Here is a 19,133-nt window from a genome sequence, read left to right on the forward strand (position 1 = left end):
GCTCCACTGCAGCACGAGACAGTGGGAATCTGCTCTTTTATGAAGGAGTCTATTCTTTGATGTCCTTTAGGAAGGATCAGCATTTGTAGCAGAACTGCTCTGTTCTCTTGTTTTAGGGTTATAATTCTATCAGTTCTTCCTTGGAATCAAATGTTTAAAAGGGGTTGGGGTTCTAAACTTTCGTAATGAAACTTTCACTTAAACTCCATTTTTCAGCACAGCACCCATTTCCCACTTTCAACTGTATCTTACATGCCTATTTCAAAATATTTCCTGGAGATGCATTGTCTTGATGGCTGCCAGGGTTGGGGAAGGCTGACATCCTGACTAAGTAAACCTCTGGTTCCTGGGTGAGGGATGTGTTGATTATAATGGATTCTTACAATGACTGCTGATAAATAACTCTTCGTTTCGCCCCAGGCCCTTTACCAGTTTTTAAGGTTAAATAGTGACTCCAATTTCCAAGCCTTTCAAAGTTTTCATAATGAGAATCAGTTTGGTTCTTATTGAACTTCCTGATTATAATTGAGTTTCTACAGGGATCAAAATTATGTCCTTATTTAGCTATATTTTGTTGTTGTTGTTGAGACAGAGTCTCACTCTGTCACCCAGGCTGGAGTGCAGTGGCAAAATCAATAAAGGAATTGAAAAGATAAGAGCACTGAGGCAGGAGAATCGCTTGAACCTGGGAGGCAGAGGTTGCCGTGAGCTGAGATCATGCCACTGCACTCCAGCCTGGGCAACAAGATCAAAACTCCGTCTCAAAAAAAAAAAAAAAAAAGTAAGAATGTAGGATAAAGGAAATGGAAGAAGAAGACAGATGTCAACAAAATTTTGGATGAGGGGAAATTAAATGGACAAATGATAACTGAGTTAACAAAATAGAGGAAGCTAAAATAGTAAATAAGAAGTAGGAGGAAGTTTAATAAGAAAGAAGCTGATTCCCATTATGAAAACTTGGAAAGGCTTGGAAATTGGAGTCACTATTTACCCTTAAACTTAGCTGAGTGTGATGGCTCACACCAGTAGTCCCGGCTACTTAGGAGTCTGAGGCACAAGAACTGCTTGAACCCAGGAGGTGCAGCTAATTCTTGTATTTTTAGTAGAGATAGGATTTCACCATATTGGTCAGCCTGGTCTTAAACTCCTAACCTCAAGTGATCTGCTTGCCTCGGCCTCCCAAAGTGCTGGGATTACAGGTGTGAGCCACTCTGGCCTCTTATTTAGCTATGTTTTAATTGGAAGCCTTATTACAGTGGGTGCATACATTTTGTATTTTACTAAATACTGCTAAATTGCTTTCCAAAATGCTATACCGATTGATGTTCCAACTAGTAGATGAAAATTTTATTTTGTACATCCTCATCAGCTTTTGACATTATCTGAATGTTTAATTTCACCCAGTGTGATGGGTGAAAGTGCTATGTAGTTGCTATTTTAATTAACGTTTCTCTGGCTGCTATTGTAGAAGTAGCTGTCAGAACCACATGAAGCCTGGAAATGCTGGGGAGTCTTCTGGGTAATCATCCTTTGCCAGGCCTCCCAATAAGCACTGAGGAATGTTCTAGGGTTCATTTGCTCATTTTACTTTCATCTTATGGACTGCCAGTACCAAAATCTGTATTAGTCCCAGTTCTCTAGAGGGACAGAACTAATGGAATAAATGTGTATACACACACACACAAATATATATATATATAAAGGGGAGTTTATTAAGTATTAACTCACATGATCACAAGGTCCTACAATAGGCTGTCTACAGGCTGAGGAGCAAGGGGAGCCAGTCCAAGTTCCAAAACTGAAGAACTTGGAGTCTGATGTTTGAGGGCAGGAAGCATCCAGCACGGGAGAAAGATGTAGGCTGGGAGGCTAGGTCAGTCTCTCTTTTCCTATTTTTCTGCCTGTTTATATTCTAGCCATGCTGGCAACTGATTAGATGGTGCCCACCCAAATTAACGGCGGTCCTGTCTTCCCCAGCCCACTGACTCAAATGTTAATCTCCTTTGGCCACACCCTCACAGACACACCCAGGATCAATACTTTGTATCCTTCAATCCAATCAAGTTGACACTCAGTATTAACCATCACAAATAGGTAGCCAGGAAGCCCATTTGCCATTCTCATGGGGGTTGCTCACTCTTCAGGCCTCTCAGCATTCAGGCTGAAATTCCCTCTGTGTGGGTCCGTTGTCTAGTGCTGAGGGGTTAGGGACCAGGGAAGCCAGACCCCATCTCCCACTCTGCTCCATTAGGCTCTATGTCATCCACTCCATTAGGCTCCATGTCATTCGCTCCATGACAGTGGCTATTGGCATCCCCTGTTAATTGCATCACCGACCAGCTGTAATAGAAACACAATAGCAAAGCTGGATATCTTAACTTACAGGCCTGTGTGATCTTTCTAATCAAGGATGCCATCGCTAACCCTTCTCTCTTGAGGCCCCTCTGGGAGAAGAAGCCTCTACACCAGCTCTGCTTGCTTCTCACCTGACTCGATATTAGTTTCTAAAAAGGTTTGCTAGGATTCATTTTGGTCTAGAGACTTTTTCGTGGGAAAGCTTCTCGTTTCTTTTAACAATGAAGGGCCATTCAAATTTTCTATTTCTTCTTGTATTGATTTTCATCTGTAAAGTTATCTATTTCGACTCCGCTGGAATAAAAGCACTTCTGATAGTTCTTTAATATCCCTTCAATGTCTGTAGTATCTGTTGTTTTGTCTTTTTTGTTAGTAATGTGTCCTTCTACTTAAGTTTTTGATTATTTTAGCTAGCTGTTTATTAATTTTCTTTTGTTTTGTTTTCTTTTTTTTTTTTTTAATGGAGTCTCGCTCTGTCACCCAGGCTGGAGTGGCGTGATCTCGGCTCACTGCAGCCTCCACCTCCAGGGATCAAGCAATTGTCCTGCCTCAGCCTCCCAAGTAGCTGGGACTACAGGCACGTGCCACCATGCCCGGCTAATTTTTGTATTTTTAGTAGAGACGGGGTTTCACCAAGTTGGCCAGGCTGGTCTTGATCTCCTGAACTCATGTTCCGCCCGCCTTGGCCTCCCAAAGTGCCGGGATTACAATCGTGAGCCACTGCTCCCGGCCTATTAATTTTCTTAATTGTACTTAATTGTTATTAATTTTCTTAACTTACAGGAGTGCATAAGTTAAGACATTCCAGCTTTGTGAGTGTGTATGAATTACTTGTTTACAGCCTTTGCTCATACATATTAGGTTGTTTAATTGCCTTTTGACTTTGTCTAACTTTTGTAAACATTTTAAATTTTGGTGTAATGAATCTATCAATCCTTCCCTTGATGATTTAAGTTTTTGTCTTAAGAACTCTTTCCCTATCTCAAAGTCTTAAAAATTATTAGACAAAGATGTAAGACTCAATTTAATAGTTGCTTTTTGCTCTTAAGTATTTGATTCATGTAAAATATATTTTATATGATTTGAGGTAGAGACATAATTGTATTTTTTCTATATGGTGAGCCAGTTTAACCAGAACCACTTAATAAATTATCTGTCCTTTCTCTACAGATGCTGCTTCTATTGTATTCACTTACCCTTCAAACAGGTAGTCACTGCTTCATTCCCCATGGCCTAGAATAGTGCCCCTAAAACAGGAGTACCCAATAATGGGCAACATGCCTGTACTCCTGAAGTAGAGTGTTCAATCTTTTGGCTTACCTGGGCCACACTGGAAGAATCATCTTAGGCCACACGTAAAATACACTAATACTAATGATAGCTGATGAGCTTTAAAAAAAAATGGCAGGGCACGGTGGCTCATGCCTGTAATCCCAGCACTTTGGGAGGCCAAGGCGGGTGGATCACGAGGTCAAGAGATTGAGACCATCCTGGCCAACATGGTGAAACCCTGTCTCTACTAAAAATACAAAAAAAATTAGCTGGGCACGGTGGTGGGCACCTGTAGTCCCAGCTACTTGGGAGCCTGAGGCAGGAGAATGGCGTGAACCCGGGATGCGGAGCTTGCAGTGAGCCGAGATCGCGCCACTGTACTCTAGCCTGGGTGACAGAGCGAGACTCAGTCTCACAAAAAATAAATAAAAATAAAAATAAAACAGCTTCATTGAGGTATAATTGGTATATTAAAAAACTGGACATATTTAATGTATCTAATTTAATGAGTTTCGAGATACACATACATCCATAACACCATCATCACACTCAAGGCAATAAACATATCTATCACCTCCAAACATTTCCTGCTGCCCCATCTCCCTTTTTGTGGTAAGAACACTTAACATGATTAACATGAAATCTACATTCTTAAAAAAATTTTAAGTAGGTAATACATTTTCGTTGACCATAGGCACAATGCTATACAGCAGCTCTCTAGTACTTATTCACCTAGTATAACTGAAACTTTATACCCATTGAACAACAACTCTCCATTTCCCTCTCCCCACAGCTCCTGGCAACAACTATTCTATTCTCTGTCCCTGTGAGTTTATTTCAGATTTCTCATATAAGTGGAGTCATGCAGTATTTGTCATTCTGTGCCTGGCTATGTCACTTAGCATGATGTCCTCCAGATTCATCCACCTTGTCACATATGCCAAGATTTCCTTCTTTATTGAGGCTGAATAATACTCCGTTGTATGTATATAACATATTTTGTTCATTCATTGATTCATTCATTTTTTTTTTCTTTTTTGAGACAGTGTCTTGCTCTGTCTCCCAGGCTGGGGTACAGTGGCATGATCTCAGTTCACTGCAACCTCCACCTCCCGAGCTCAAGTGATTCTCCTGTGTCGTCCTCCCGAGCAGCTGGGATCACAAGCACCCACCACCATGCCCAGCTGATTTTTTTTTTGTATTTTTAGTAGAGACGGGGTTTCACCATGTTGGCCAGGCTGGTTTCGAACTCCTGACCTCAAGTGATCTGCCCACCTTGGCCTCCCAAAGTGCTAGGATTACAGACCTGAGCCACCATCCCTGGCCCATTTATTCATTTTTGATGGACATTTAGGTTGTTTCCATATCTTGGAATAATTGTGAATAATGCTGCAATGAATATGGGTGTGCAGATATCTTTTCAAGATCCTGATTTCATTTATTTTGGATACATATACAGAAGTGGGATTGCTGAATATAATAGTTCCATTTTTAATTTTTTAAGGAAACCCAGTACTGTTTTCCATAGTGGCTGCACCATTTGGCATTCCCACCAACAATGTACAGGGTTTCCATTGGTCCACATTCTTGCCAACATTTGTTATCTTTTGTTTTTTGATAATGGCCAACAGGCATATGAAAAGGTGCTCAATTTCACTAATCATTGGGAAAAAGCAAATCAAAACCACAATGAGATATTAACTTACACATATTAAGATGGTTATTACATGTGTATCTTTCCGGCCAGGCTCTGAGCTCACAATCACAGGGATTGTGTCTTTTTTGTCTTTATCTCCAAAGTCTAGCATAATGCTCATATGTCAATAATTGTTCTGGTAATTTTATCCTAAATTTGCCCTAAATATAATTTCAAAAGAGCTTTAGGGGTAATAGGGCATGAAACAAAATTAAACTATGTTTTGAATTTCTTTCTTCAATACTCAGAGACAGAGAAAATTATAACATTCAATTACATATTTACTTTTATTTACATTAGTAAGGCTGTAAATTATGAATGTAAATGTGCTTAGCTAGAACAAATATTGCTCAGAATAAAAAAGATATACAAATATAATGCTAATATACAATATAGGCTATCATAAAAATTTGTATTTGTGTACACACATACATAATTGGCTACATTCGACAATGGGGTTCATTTGATTCCTCCGTAGTAATTAGAACAGGAGACTTAACTGATTACAGCCATGATGCGGTTACTTAAAAACACACACACACACACGCACACAGGCACAGGCACACACATGCACACCCCACATAAATAAGTTTGGGAAAATTTTAAATTTTCTCACTTAGGACTTTTCAAAGCCATCTCAAAGGAGCTTCCTCAAAACATTTAATGTTGGCATCACCCCACAAGTACTCAGAAATAAGTGTTAAAATAGAAATCCAATCCAGTAATGGGAAACTGACTTAGATTATCTTATTTGTTTGTATATTTATTTGTCATCTATCTCTCTTATTCACTGCTCTATTTTCAACATCTACAATAGTGCTTAGTAATGAATACACATGCAGTACACAAAGGTGCTAACACAATATATGACTAATGATGAGGGCTATGCACATTTATACAGAATGAGAATTATTTAGTCCAAAAAATATCTGGAAAGCATAAATGCTGTAATTGGATAAAGCTAAAATTCTATTACTCTATTGAAATCAGATATCAAGTGATACTTTTAAACTAAACGTGAGGTAATGGTTGAAAAGGGATTAAAACACTGGAATTTGGGCATGCCAAATCCAAATCATTGAATATTCAATTACAGATCTAATAAAGCAGGTAGACCATGAATAGGATAATTGCATATGGAGACCTTGGTTCCAGTCGCGACTATGTCACTGTGAGATTTTGGCCAATGAGGTACAATTTCCTCAATTATAAAATGCATTAGAAATAGCTGCCCTCTCTTCTTTACAGAAGTGTTGTAAGAAACAAATACAATCGAATTTATATACTCTTATTATTTAATCATCCATTACAAGCAAAATGTAAATGTGATTGTCCTTACTACAATCAACACTGAAAACAGTGAATTCAGGATGTTGCTGTGGCAGGCCAGAGGTGGGTCTCTTGAGTCTCCATTGAAATAACTTGCTGGCCAGCAAGTTAGTGGACAGCGTCCAGCTGCGCCTTCTGGATTGGCCACAGCATTTGCAGGTCTTTTTTTTTTGTTGTTTTTCTTTTTCCCAGGATAGCCCCAGACAATGACTTAACAGGATGGGGCACTAAGACCCAGACATTACTGCCCAGCATAACACTGTCTCCTCTCTGGGCAAACTTTGCTTTGGGCCTCACTATGAGCTGGCCAAAACTCTCCCAGAGCTGTGTCTGAATCTCATGCTTTTTCTCCTCACTCCCCACACCTCCCCTCTTCCCTCTCACAGGTGGGAGCCTGAAAGCCCACCCCATACCCATACTTCTGTTTCTTCTCCCTTTTATCTTTCTCAAACATTAACCTCCAATCAGTGTTTGCACTTCTAACTTTGTCCTGGTGTCTGAGTTCTAGAAAACCCGACACCCAATCCCTCAAACCCCAATCACCAGAAGCAGCCCATGTCAGTATTTTCCATTTTATATTTTTTACAGAAGTGTTCAAATACACAAAAATATTGTAAGCTTTTTATTGCAAGATGTTTAATTTCTTTTTTTTCTTCCTTTTCCCCTCATTCTTGCTGTCATCTTAAGGATGCTGAATTTCTACTTCTTTTTTCTTCTTGGAATTATATGTTGTATTTGTGAACAAGAGACGATAAAATATTATTTCAAACGTACACCTTATCAAATGCTAACCCCCACTTGACATTCACCTATTTTATCAACAGCAATGGTTGAGAGGACTCATAGACATTTCTTGAGAACATAGCATTGAATGGCATGGCCTCAATGAATCAGTGAGTTGGAGGTATCAGTAATCTCCCAATAGCTTTTTAGGGTGAGGGTCAGATTCCTTCTTAATGTGAGCCTGGAGCTCTTCTGTAAAGTCCTTGTTTCCATACTGTCCCTGGCTTGTTGAATTCCAGTAGAGAATGACCAGCAACCATACAGCTTTTAGCTTTGACCGGACCAGTGAGTTCTTTCGTATCCAAGCTCCAATTTAAACACTCTTGTCTCTTGGTTCTATGTAATCCTCTGCAGGCATACTCTACGATAGGCTCAGCTGGGTCTCAAAAGTTCCAGCTTTACAAATAGCTTCTTCATTAAATGCTCCTGATGTAACTTATAGGCATCACTTCACATTGACCTTGTGAAAGGAGAACACCTGAGCAGGTATTTGGATAGTGGGTAGATGCTAAGAGCTTTTCCCAGAGAGCTCATTGTCTGCTGTCTTACAAAAGAGATAATCCTGCACATTGTTTTTATTGTTTTCATTTGCTTCTATTGCCTTTTAATTATTTTTGGTTTTCTTTCTGCATCAATGCTACAATTACATAAATACTCTATGAATTTCCTTTGTAAGCTTTGGTAGCATTTGACATCATGATATACTGTTATTTTCGACAGACAGTATGTTTTTTAAAAAAGCTTATTCCCACTAGAAGAGTTTATTTATTTTAAGGTGGTAAATCTGTATTTTCAAATTGTTTCTATCTTTCTCTCTCTCTCTCTCTTTTTTTTTAAATTAGCTTTTCAACTTGATTGTAAAATGTCACAGCGCAGAGAATGTACCTGGGAAGATGAGCTTGCATGGAGCCAGGCAAAGCAGATTACAATCTGGGCTCTCTTCTCATATTGAGTAAGATCAATAGCTACTTCGAGCCTCTGTTTCCTCATCTTTATTGTAAAACAATAATAAAATTAAATCCTCTTAACCTCTACAGGGAATAATATCATGGCCTGTGCAACGTTACTGCAAGAATTAGCACTAATTTGAGGACAGTTTTTCTCTGTCTTTGAATGGAAGTCCATAATTGGAATTGTTAATACAATTTTTAGTTTCCCTCAGACATATGCTTGCCTGAAGGCTAGTGTAGGATATAATCTGAGCTCTGTACTATGAATGTGTTAATTCCATTTGACTTAAAGCTACTTGAAGCAGATGATGCTGGAGGCTGGTCCCATGACCGTTTCACACCCTAGTCAGAGGATTTTCAGTTTCTGTCTTCAAGGTGACATTCACAATTGCTGGTTTTCCATACCACATTTCTTCCCTATACTTGAATTTCTAGGATTACAATAAAAGAGAGCTAATATTCACCAACCCAACACCTTTTTTTTTTTTTGAGACGGAGTCTCTCTGTCCCCAGGCTGGATTGGAGTGCAGTGGCGCGATTTCGGCTCACTGCAAGCTCCGCCTCCCGGGTTCACACCATTCTCCTGCCTCAGCCTCCCGAGTAGCTGGGACTACAGGCACCCACCACCACGCCCAGCTGATTTTTTGTATTTTTAGTAGACATGGGGTTTCACCATGTTAGCCAGGATGGTCTTGATCTCCTGACCTCGTGATCTGTCCACCTCAGCCTCCCAAAGTGCTGGGATTACAGGCATGAGGCACCGCACCCAGCCCAGCATCTTTAGTGTAAGAAATCATCCACACATTGTATATATGTAAGGCCCAACAACTGACATAAAGGCAGCGCAGTGTCCTGTAAAGAGCACAGATTTGGGAATTTCCCATAGACTTGTCTTGCACTGACTGCAAACATTTAAGCAACAGCTTCTGGTGCCCTTTGCTGCTCGCCTGTATCATGAGCATAATGGCTATGTTTATAGTATTTTTTGTTGTTGTTTTTTAGAAGATACTTTTAAAACCCTAGTTTTTATTTTTATTTATTTTCCAGTGGCCAGTTACTAGAATGTTTTTATTTTTTGCATGTTATAAATATTTTCTCTGTGGTTTGAACTTTCAAAACCGTGAGTGATTTTCCACTCTCTGTTATAGAGTGTTTTTCTTTTCTCCAAAGTTAAAAAAGTTGTCCCTTGAAGGCACAGAAAATAAACTTTTGAAATCAATGAAAACAATGGAAGCGCTGAATCCAGTAAACCAAAGATAACACAAAGACCAGGCTACAGAGGCAAGAGGTGTCTGGTGAGAGGGAGTGGCTGAGTGAGGTGACACTGTTTCCTGTGGACCCCAGTTTTATCTTTCCCATCAATTAGTATAATGGGAAAATTCTTGTAGTGTTCGATGATGTCTTCTACTGAATCAAACTTCTGAAACACAGAAAAGAAAGTTAATGACTTTTAAAATATCTTTTGTGTCTGTAGGTTAAAGTATAGCCAAGGTGCTTCATTTTGCATGGGGAAGAGGTGAACCAATTTAACAATGTTTGTATGGTAAAGGTGTTTCAGGAAGTGGTTTTTGGTTTGTTTGTTTTTTTCTGAGACGTTGTTTTGCTCTGTCACCCAGGCTGGAATGCAGTGCCACAATCTCGGCTCACTGCAACCTCCGCCTCCCGTGTTCAAGTGATTCTCCTGTCTCAGCCTCCCAAGTAGCTGGGATTACAAGCATGCGCCACCACGCCCAGCTAATTTTTGTATTTTTAGTAGAGACAGGGTTTCGCCATGTTGGCCAGACTGGTCTCGAACTCCTGACCTCAGGTGATCCACCCGCCTCGGCATCCCAAAGTGCTGGGATTACAGGCATGAGCCACCACGCCTGACCGGAAGTAGTTTTTAAAAAGAATATGGCAAGCTTGAAGGATGAGTGATAAGAATGATAACAAGAGAGAAAAAAATTCTTGAGAGAACCAAAAGTGAGCCCTATGGCAGCTCTTTAAACTTCCTATACAGGGAGTTTCCCCTCTCTGGAATCAGATCACACTGGTCAAGTTCCATTCTATTGTTATCACAACCTTTCTATCCTAAGGACTCAGATGGGTTAATTACACAGCAATCAAGCCTTGGAATCTCTGTTGCCTCCCAAACCTCAACCTTAGCTCTGACCAGCAAAAATATAGAAGATGTAGGCTCGAATGTAGTAAATTGGTGGGCAATGCCTGCAGTGAGCTTGCCCTCCAGTAACGAAGTCTAAGGAATTCTAGTATACATAGAAAGAACAGGGACAACCACGGGGCTGCTTAGCTAATTTAGCTGCCCTCCTTAAGCTTCTTGTGAAATAATGAGGTAGCTGCAGATTTCAGTGTTTCTAGATACACAGATAAAATGTTATGACAATTTAACGGAAAGTAAGATTATTTCAGGTTTAGGGAAATGGGGAAGTGCTTTGTCAAGGACACAGACTTGAAATGGGCTATGTTATGGGTCATTCCAGATAAGTAGACAGGAGGGTTTAAAGACATTAAAAGCAGAGAATGTACAGGACCATGCATAAGGACAGGTATTGAGAAGACTTGAGCATATATAGTAATTTTTTTTTTTAATTTCAACAGCTTTAGAGGTATAAGTGGCTTTTGGTTACATGGATGAATTGTATAATGGTGAAGTTTGGGCTTTAGTGTACCCATCACCCAGATAATATACATTGTATGTACCCAGTAGGTGATTTTTCATCCCTTAGCCCCCTTCTCACCCTCTCCCTCTCTGAGCCTTCAATGTCCATTCTGCATACACAGTAATTCTGATCAGGTGAGTTTGGATAAGTTCCTGAAGGAGTATATTGGGAGATAATTAGGAAGAGCTTGCTCAACCTGCCTCCCATGTTTCAAGACAACTTAGATCCTCCTTAGCAAGCCTGTGAGGTGAACAGGGCAGGGGGAATGATCTTCCCTAAAGAGCGAAGGGAATTTCAGCTCAGAGAAGTGGACCGCCTTACTCAGAGTCTCCCATGGCTAGGGAGGATGAGACCAGGAATGAAGGCTCACTTTTCTGGATACTTCTTTTTATTTTTCAGCTTTGCCTATAGCTTGTGACCTCTGATGCTCCAACAAACCAGGGTAGAGATGACATAGCCTGAAGAAAGGGAGCCGTGTGGGGGCTACTCTGCCTCTGATTTGGTTTTGTCCACTCCTTCCTCTGTCCGGGGCATCCTAGGTGCAGCAATGTTGCAAGGCCTCAGGAATAGCCAATGGAGAATGAGATTGGCCAGTTAGGACCTCACAGGGATGACGTTCTGTTGGGAGCAGGCAGAAAATAATTTCCTATGCAAACAAATAATTTCATTTAGAGCTATGTGCTGTGAAAATTGTCCGTTGAGGCTTAAGAACTTCACCAGGTCGCTCAGAGGCTTCCCTCGGGGCTGTTGGGAGGGAACGTTCTTTTCTGTTAGAGGCGCACTGAATAGAAAGCAATTAAAACGCTATAAACCTGTGACTTCCAGGGTCATCTCCTCCTTCCCACCGTCATGTGGGATGGGGGGAGGGGGTGTGTGAAGAGCAAACAGACACCACGCTGGGGATAAAAACGTGGGGAAAGAAATGTAGAGTGGGAATGTCTTGATGTTAACTAGTCCCTGGATCGAGTCCATTTCTGTCCTTTCTGGTTACATTACAACACATTTCCTTCTCTCCCGCCTGAGCTCATTTGAATTGGGGTTTGTCTTTTCACACCCAAAGAGTCCTGGTTCAATCTGTAAGTCCCTTGTCCTTCTGAAACCTTTACTGGATCTGCAGCAGTTTCCAATGAGATAACCTATGTGTCAGTCTGACTTAGTGTGTTCAGCCTGTTAAAATACTAGGCCAGGCGTGGTGGCTCACGCCTGTAATCCCAGCACTTTGGGATGCCAAGGTGGGCAGAACACTTAAGGTCAGGAGTTCGAGGCCAGCCTGGCCAACATAGTGAAATCCCCTCTCTACCAAAAATATAAAAAATTAGCCGGGCATGGTGGCATGTGCCTGTAATCCCAGCTACTTGGGAGGCTGAGGCAGGAGAATCGCTTGAACCTGGGAGGCGGAGGTTGCAGTGAGCTGTGATGGCGGCACTGCACTCCAGCCTGGGAGACAGAAGAGACTTCATCTCAAAAAACAAACAACAACAAAAAGTACTATAAACCTGGCAGCTTAGAAACAGCAGAAATGTATGTCTCACTTTCTGGAGTCTGGGGAGTCCAAGATCGAGGCACTGGCAGATTCAGGGTCTGGAGAGGCCCATTTTCTTGCCTTAATGCTGTGTCCTCACATGGTCCAAAGAGCAATGCACTCTTTTACAAGGGAACGAATCTCATCTGTGAGGGCTCCACCTTCAAGACCAAATCACTTTCCAAAGTCCTCACCTCCTAACACCATCACCTTAGGGCTTAGGATTTCAACACATACATTTTGGAGGAATACAAACATTCAGACTACACCACCACCCATATTACGTATACAATAAATATGAGTTTCTACCTGATGCTAAGGTAAGGTACTTTCCCCATTGTCCAATGGGGAGATTAATCTCTACTACAGCAGGGTAATTGTAACCAGAGGGCCTGTGGAGCCTAAATGCCTGAGTTCAAAGCCTGGCTCTCCCAACCACTAGCAGTGTGACTGTCAGCAAGTTTCTTGCATTCTCTGTGCCTCAGTTATTCTATGAACAGTGATGGTAACGATAGGACCTAACTTTGAGATTCATTGTGAGAATGGAATTGATGCATATGCAGTACAGCATTCAGAAGAAAGTGTGACACACAGTGAGTGCTCAGCACATGCCAGGCCTTATGATTAACTCCTCCCTTCTAGCTTTGCCAAGAACATCATGAGAGAGCAATGCAATCACCAAGAAGTTTGTAGACCATTACTGTAAGCCTTTAGGAAGAGAAGAATTTTCTGTATTTCATTTCCAATTTTAAACCAAGCACAAAGTTTTCTTTCTCTGTCTTCATGCTTGCTAAAACAAAAAGTGAATAACAACCACACACAAAAAAACTTTTTATGCAGAACTCTTTCACAAAATTGGTTAAATCCACATCACAAAAAAGGAAATCTTTCCTAGTTTCAGTCTTCAGAGGGAAGATGATTTCTTTGTCCTAGTATCATTCCTGTTTTAAGATTGTCCCAAAATAATACATTTGCTATTAATTGTTTTAATAATCTGCTACATGGATGACATTTCATATGAAATTGTAACTTTAACAGGTAGTAGGCAGCAAGACAGGTGCAACTAGTCACACAGTATTTCCTATTTTTTTTTTTTTTTTGAGATGGAGTCTCACTCTGTCACCCAGGCTGGATTGCAGTGGCACAATCTTGGCTCACTGCAACCTCTGCCTCCTAGATTCAAGCAATTCTCCTGCCTCAGCCTCCCAAGTAGCTGGGATTACAGGCATGTGCCATGGCGCGCAGCTAACTTTTCGTGTTTTTAGTAGAGACAGGGTTTCATCATATTGACCAGGTTGGTCTTGAACTCTTGACCTCAAGTGATCCACCCGCCTTGGCCTCCTAAAGTGCTGGGATTACAGGCGTGAGCCCCCGCGCCCAGCCTGGTCCTTTCTTATTATTGGTTTCTAATGATGGGGTCAAAATTGAAATATTGCCCTGAAGAGACTTTTTAAAAAGATTATATTCAAGCTCTCTTACATATTGAATAATCTTTTCCAGGGGGACAACCAATGTTATGCTATTATTAGATCTTAAAATCTGTTTAAACCTTTTGTGTTTATTCTATATATGAACTGTGGGCGATGTTTCCTTGCCAGAAAAGTAAAGAAATCTGTTTGGGTACACACATGAGAGTGAAAGAAGGAAAGGGGGAGAAAAGAGAAAGAGAGATAAATGCCAAGCAAGCAGGAGGAGAAGGAAGGAGACAGAGAAGGTGTGAAAAAAACCCATGGGTTAATTATTTGTCTCTGTTCTTTAGTCTTTAACGTTTAGTTTATCATGTAAATATCTACGGTGGTTTTTAGAAACTTATAAACATTTGTAGAACAAAAGGAGAGATCTGGAAATTGAAATTGAAATGTCCCTTCTCTGAGATTTCACAGAAATGTTGACAAACATGACTTATAAAACTGAGATGCAGGGCTGATGTTTGGCAGCACTTAAGCTCCGCAGGTTGTTTAAGGCAGGTGCCTCCTTGGCTGGCTAGGGCTGATGTTCTACCAATCTCATTCTTGCTTAGGTGCCTACAGAGATCGGCACAGGTGCACAGGGTATTCCCTGGATGGCAGGGACTTGACATGACTCTTTCTGTGTTCCCAGAATGCAACACTGAGTCTAACATACTGTAGGCTTACAATTAATGCTTGGACAATAAATAAGTAAAGGAGCAGTGGGTGCTAAATGATTCCCCCCAATATGTCCATGTCCTAATCCCAGAATCTGGAATATGACCTTACATTGTAGAAGAGCTAATACTATTTTACATGGTATAATACAGGATAAAGTTAAGGATCCTGAGAAGGGGTGCTTATCCGAGGTTATCCCAGTAGGCCCTAAAAGCAATCATGTGTTTCTTCATAAGATAGGAGCAGTGGAAGATTTTGATGAGAGAAGAGGAGAAGGTCACGTGACCATAGAGAGAGCGATGAGGAGAAGGTCACGTGACCATAGAGAGAGAGAGATGAGGAGAAGGTCACGTGATCATAGAGGCAGAGACTGGAGCGACGTGGCCATAAACCAAGGAAGACAAGGATTGCTGGCAGCCACGGAAAGCTGGAAGAGGCCAGGAGTGATTCTCCCCTGGAGCCTCCAGAAGGAGTGTGGCCCTGCTGATACCATGATATTGGACTCCTGGCCTCCAGCACTGTGAAACAAGAAATTTCAGTTGTTTTAAACTGCAAAGTTTCTGGGGAAGGGAATACTTATTAAGCACATGCCTCTATGTGTCTGCCACTATTTACATCAACTCATGTCACACTCAAAATAACTCCCAAGAGTTAGGCATTGCTGCATCATCTGTGTGGTTAAATTCAAAAGTTGCAAGATAGCTACAAAACTACATGAAATTAAAATAATCTTTGAAGATGCTGTTTCTCATTATGTTTTTCCTGCTGAGTTGGGTGAAGATGCTTTCTTTAATTGAACCGTGGCTAAAGTAGCTAGTTGTTGGCTTGCATTTAGCAGAGCCTTGCTATGTAAAATGCCTTTATCTTGTTTTAAAGAGGCGTGATTCTTCCTCAGCAAGACAAAAGGCTCACGCTGTGAAAAGCATGAGGGAACTGAGTGAAATCCAGACCGTCTTCCTCTTACACAGGGCACAGCTCCCTCAGAGGGAAGGCAGGAAGAACCACCTGTGAATTGTCATTTTTTACCCACTGCCTGGAACACAGTAAGCTCCAAGTAAGTGTTAACTATTCTTTAACTGTGATTCAACCTGCAATGTTTTCAAACGGGTGAGGGATTGCTTGTATTTGCCATGGTGTTATTTGAGTCTGTTTGTGGAAGCGAGGCATGAGAACAGGGTCTGGAGGCAGGGAATCTAAGGACTTCCTAGAACCAAATCAAATGGAAACACTTCAGTTATGACAGGAAGTATCCTTTCTATTTACATAGGGCCTACACTGAGTAAATGACTTTGTAACTTTACTTCATCCTCTTGGTTTACATAGGGCGAACACCAAGTAACCAATGGAAACCTCTAGCAGATATTTAAACCGCAGAAAATTCTTTAAGGGTGCTCTTGAGCCCCTATGCCGGGGCCCGCTCCCACCCTATGGAGTGCACTTTCATTTTCGATAAATCTCTGTTTTTGTTGCTTCATTCTTTCCTTGCTTTGTTTGTGTGTTTTGTCCAATTCTTTGTTCAAGATGCCAAGAATCTGGATACCTTCAACTGGTAATGGAAGTCAATGTTTTGCAAACTATACCGCATCCCAGAATTGCCGTTTACTAGCTGTGACTTTGGGCCAGATACTTAGTATTTCTGTGCCTCAGTTTCACAGTTTGTTAAATTGAAATATTGATAGCACCTACCCCAGAGGTTGGCTATGAGGATTCAATAGATCAAATTAGTCATTAATGGCTAACTGCACAGAATAGTTCCAGTGCATATAAAACCCCACCAAAACTCAGGATTCTGCCTTGGATTTCTTTCTCATTGCTTGCTTTATGTATATATATATTTATATTATTAGTGAATGCTTTAATTGATTCATTCTTTCACCTGTGGAAATGTATGTTCAACACATGTATGGGAAAAAAATAAGGAACGCAAAGGAGGAGAAAATTCCAGATGAACACAGAAAGGAGCTTCTTAAAACAGACATTTGGTTCTCTCAGGGTTCCTTGGTGACAGTAATTAGAGCAGCTCATCTGGAGGCGGAGGGTCTAATCTATGGCCTGCCATAGGAGATGCTCCTTATTTGCCAAGATAGTCAGTGAACCGGCTGACAGTCTGATTAAGCTGTTAGGATATTATCACAGAGTCACTCTACTTCCTCTTCTTTATTAGCAGACCAAAGTGGGGCATGTTGGAAAAAAAGCAGTAACTATCTCAGGTCTCAGTTTCCTTGCCAGTAAATGATGTTCATTAATATGTCCTTTCCAGAGCTTTTTCAAGAACTCCATGTGAGAGCAAATTAAACAGCATTTGGCCCAAGGCCCTGGCACATGCAAAGGCACACCATGTCCACGTCCTCTATTCTCTAAGGAAAAAGAACCCTTAAACCCAAGCATTTAAGAATTATATAATGCTTTCCTGGCCGGGCGCAGTGGCTCATGCCTGTAATCCCAGCACTTTGGGAGGCCAAGGTGGGCAGATCACCTGAGGTCGGGAGTTCCAGACCAGCCTGACCAACATGGAGCAACCCTGTCTCTATTAAAAATACAAAATTAGCTGGGCATGGTGGCGTATGCCTGTAATCCCAGCTACTCGGGAGGCTGAGGCAGGAGAATCGCTTGAACCCGGGAGGCAGAGGTTGTGGTGAGCCAAGATCACGCCATTGCATTCCAGCCTGGGCAACAAGAACGAGACTCCGTCTTAGAATAAATAAATAAGCTGGGTGCTGTGGCTCACGCCTGTAATCCCAGCACTCTGGGAGGCTGAGGCGGGCGAATCACGAGGTCAGGAGATCGAGACCATCCTGGCTAACACTGAAACCCCGTCTCTACTAAAAAAATACAAAAAAATTAGCCGGGCGTGGTGGTGGGCGCCTGTAGTCCCCGCTACTCGGGAGGCTGAGGCAGGAGGATGGCGTGAACCCTGCAGGCGGAGTTTGCAGTGAGCCGAGATCGCGCCACTGCACTCCAGCCTGGGTGACAGAGCAAGACTCCGTCTCAAAATAAAATAAAATAAATAAATAAGAATTATATAATGCTTTCCTAAAGATGAGAAATTCTATAAGCTGAGAGAAGATATAGAAGGATAAAGGGACACTGAACTGGAAAGTCCATTACCATAGGCATCTTAGGGCTACTATATCCTACTTATTAAAATGACTCAGGAATAGTAATGAAAATATAACTAAAATTTATTGTGGGCTTGATAGGTCCCAGGCACTGTTCTAAGTGTTTTACATTTATTAACTTGCCAATCCTCTCCACAAAATGAAGAACTGACCACTTCTGTCTTTCGTGTTAACGTAGCACTTTCTTAATGTGGTTGTACCTGGTAGATTTATGTATTAATCTATGGATTCACTCATGCACTTGTTCATGTCACAGTGTTCCCGGGCTGTAGCAAATGGTGGTGTGGGATATGATGAAGATTCTCTTCAAATAATCCGATCAAACTTTTATTCTTTAATTCATTGTACCCCCCCCCCCCCAACCCTTGTCCTTTTTCTCCTGTTTTCCTTTTTGCCTTTGTTAGATGCCCAGGCACGCCACAGTACCAGGCATTATCAGTACCAGCTCACATTCCTTTCCTTATTTGGAAAGAGGACTAACTTTTTAGCTCATTACAGACACCCCTTCCCCTTCCTCTCCACTTTCTTTTATATGCCTACTTTATCTAAAAAAAATCAAATGTTTAGCCAACTGGGATTAGTTTAGATTGTAAGACCTGACCCCAGCCAATGGGGAAAGGGGACAGGGGCAGGACTTGTGTCAGGAATAAAGGCTCTCGTGCCCCTTTGTTCAGGTATGCTCTCATTGCGACTGTCCAAGGAGGCACCCCTCTGTGCAGAACTAAAATTGCTTTGCTAAGAATCCTTTGTTCGAGTGTTCAATTTCCTTAGGATTTTGAGCGTTATTCCTAACAGTGGTGAACTGACCTCATGGTCGCCTCACAGGTGCTGACTATTCCTCTCCGAGTCTCAAAAAAGTGCTCTGGTCAGACACGGGATTTAAGCTGGAATCTTTATGCAGCCTGCGCATCGATTTCACACGTGTGCCTACCTGAAGCCTGTTGGCAGCCCTAGCAATGTGCCCTATTTTGTTATCTGTTGAAGAACAATCGGTATCTGTGTGAAAGTTCTGGTTTTATCCTGTATTAGTTTGTCAAGGCTACCGTAACTAAGCACTACAGACAAGGTGGCTTAAACAACAGAAATGTCTTTCTTCGCAGTTCTCGAGGCTGAAGTCCCAAGGTCAAGGTGTTGGAAGGCTGCTTTCTCCCACGACCCCTCTCCTTGGTTTGCAGATGGTCGACCCTTCCCAGTGTCCTCACATGGTCGCCCCTCTGTGTGTGCCTGTGTCCTAATCTCCTCTTGTCATAAGAACATCTCTCATATTGGATTAGGACTCATCCCAATAACCTTGTTTAACCTTAATTACCTCTTTCAAAGC

The 19,133-nt window shown here is 41.5% G+C and overlaps 1 protein-coding gene and 1 long non-coding RNA gene across 4 annotated transcripts in view, besides 2 other annotated features; one reads left to right on the forward strand and one right to left on the reverse strand.

The window, feature by feature from the left end:
* Positions 1 to 5,586: 5,586 nt before the first annotated feature.
* CLNK (cytokine dependent hematopoietic cell linker) overlaps positions 5,587 to 19,133 on the reverse strand; it is a 248,452-nt gene continuing 234,905 nt past the window's right edge. For 2 of the 3 annotated variants that reach the window (XM_011513775.3, NM_052964.4), the window contains exon 19: positions 5,587 to 9,805. In XM_011513775.3, coding sequence (XP_011512077.1) covers positions 9,659 to 9,805 — 147 coding nt within the window. In that variant the 3' untranslated portion in view covers positions 5,587 to 9,658. Of the gene's footprint in view, positions 9,806 to 10,929; positions 11,664 to 19,133 lie in introns of those variants that run through there. The other variant, XM_017007684.2, reaches the window with a different exon arrangement.
* The window catches only part of LOC105374482 (uncharacterized), a 41,073-nt gene continuing 30,244 nt past the window's right edge, over positions 8,305 to 19,133 (forward strand). The window contains exons 1-2 of the long non-coding RNA XR_925387.4: positions 8,305 to 8,387; positions 15,570 to 15,747. This is a non-coding gene — a long non-coding RNA (uncharacterized LOC105374482). The remainder of the gene's footprint in view (positions 8,388 to 15,569; positions 15,748 to 19,133) is intronic.
* Positions 14,648 to 15,596: an enhancer, noted in NCBI's record as "OCT4-NANOG-H3K27ac hESC enhancer chr4:10497080-10498028 (GRCh37/hg19 assembly coordinates)". NCBI's record gives its function as "activates a minimal SCP1, AML or CMV promoter by ChIP-STARR-seq in naive H9 embryonic stem cells {active_cell/tissue: H9 hESC(naive)}" and the evidence as "EXISTENCE:reporter gene assay evidence [ECO:0000049][PMID:30033119]".
* Positions 15,597 to 16,543: an enhancer, noted in NCBI's record as "OCT4-NANOG-H3K27ac hESC enhancer chr4:10498029-10498975 (GRCh37/hg19 assembly coordinates)". NCBI's record gives its function as "activates a minimal SCP1, AML or CMV promoter by ChIP-STARR-seq in naive H9 embryonic stem cells {active_cell/tissue: H9 hESC(naive)}" and the evidence as "EXISTENCE:reporter gene assay evidence [ECO:0000049][PMID:30033119]".

Source organism: Homo sapiens, chromosome 4 (genome assembly GCF_000001405.40).
Source record: "Homo sapiens chromosome 4, GRCh38.p14 Primary Assembly".
NCBI lineage: Eukaryota > Metazoa > Chordata > Mammalia > Primates > Hominidae > Homo > Homo sapiens.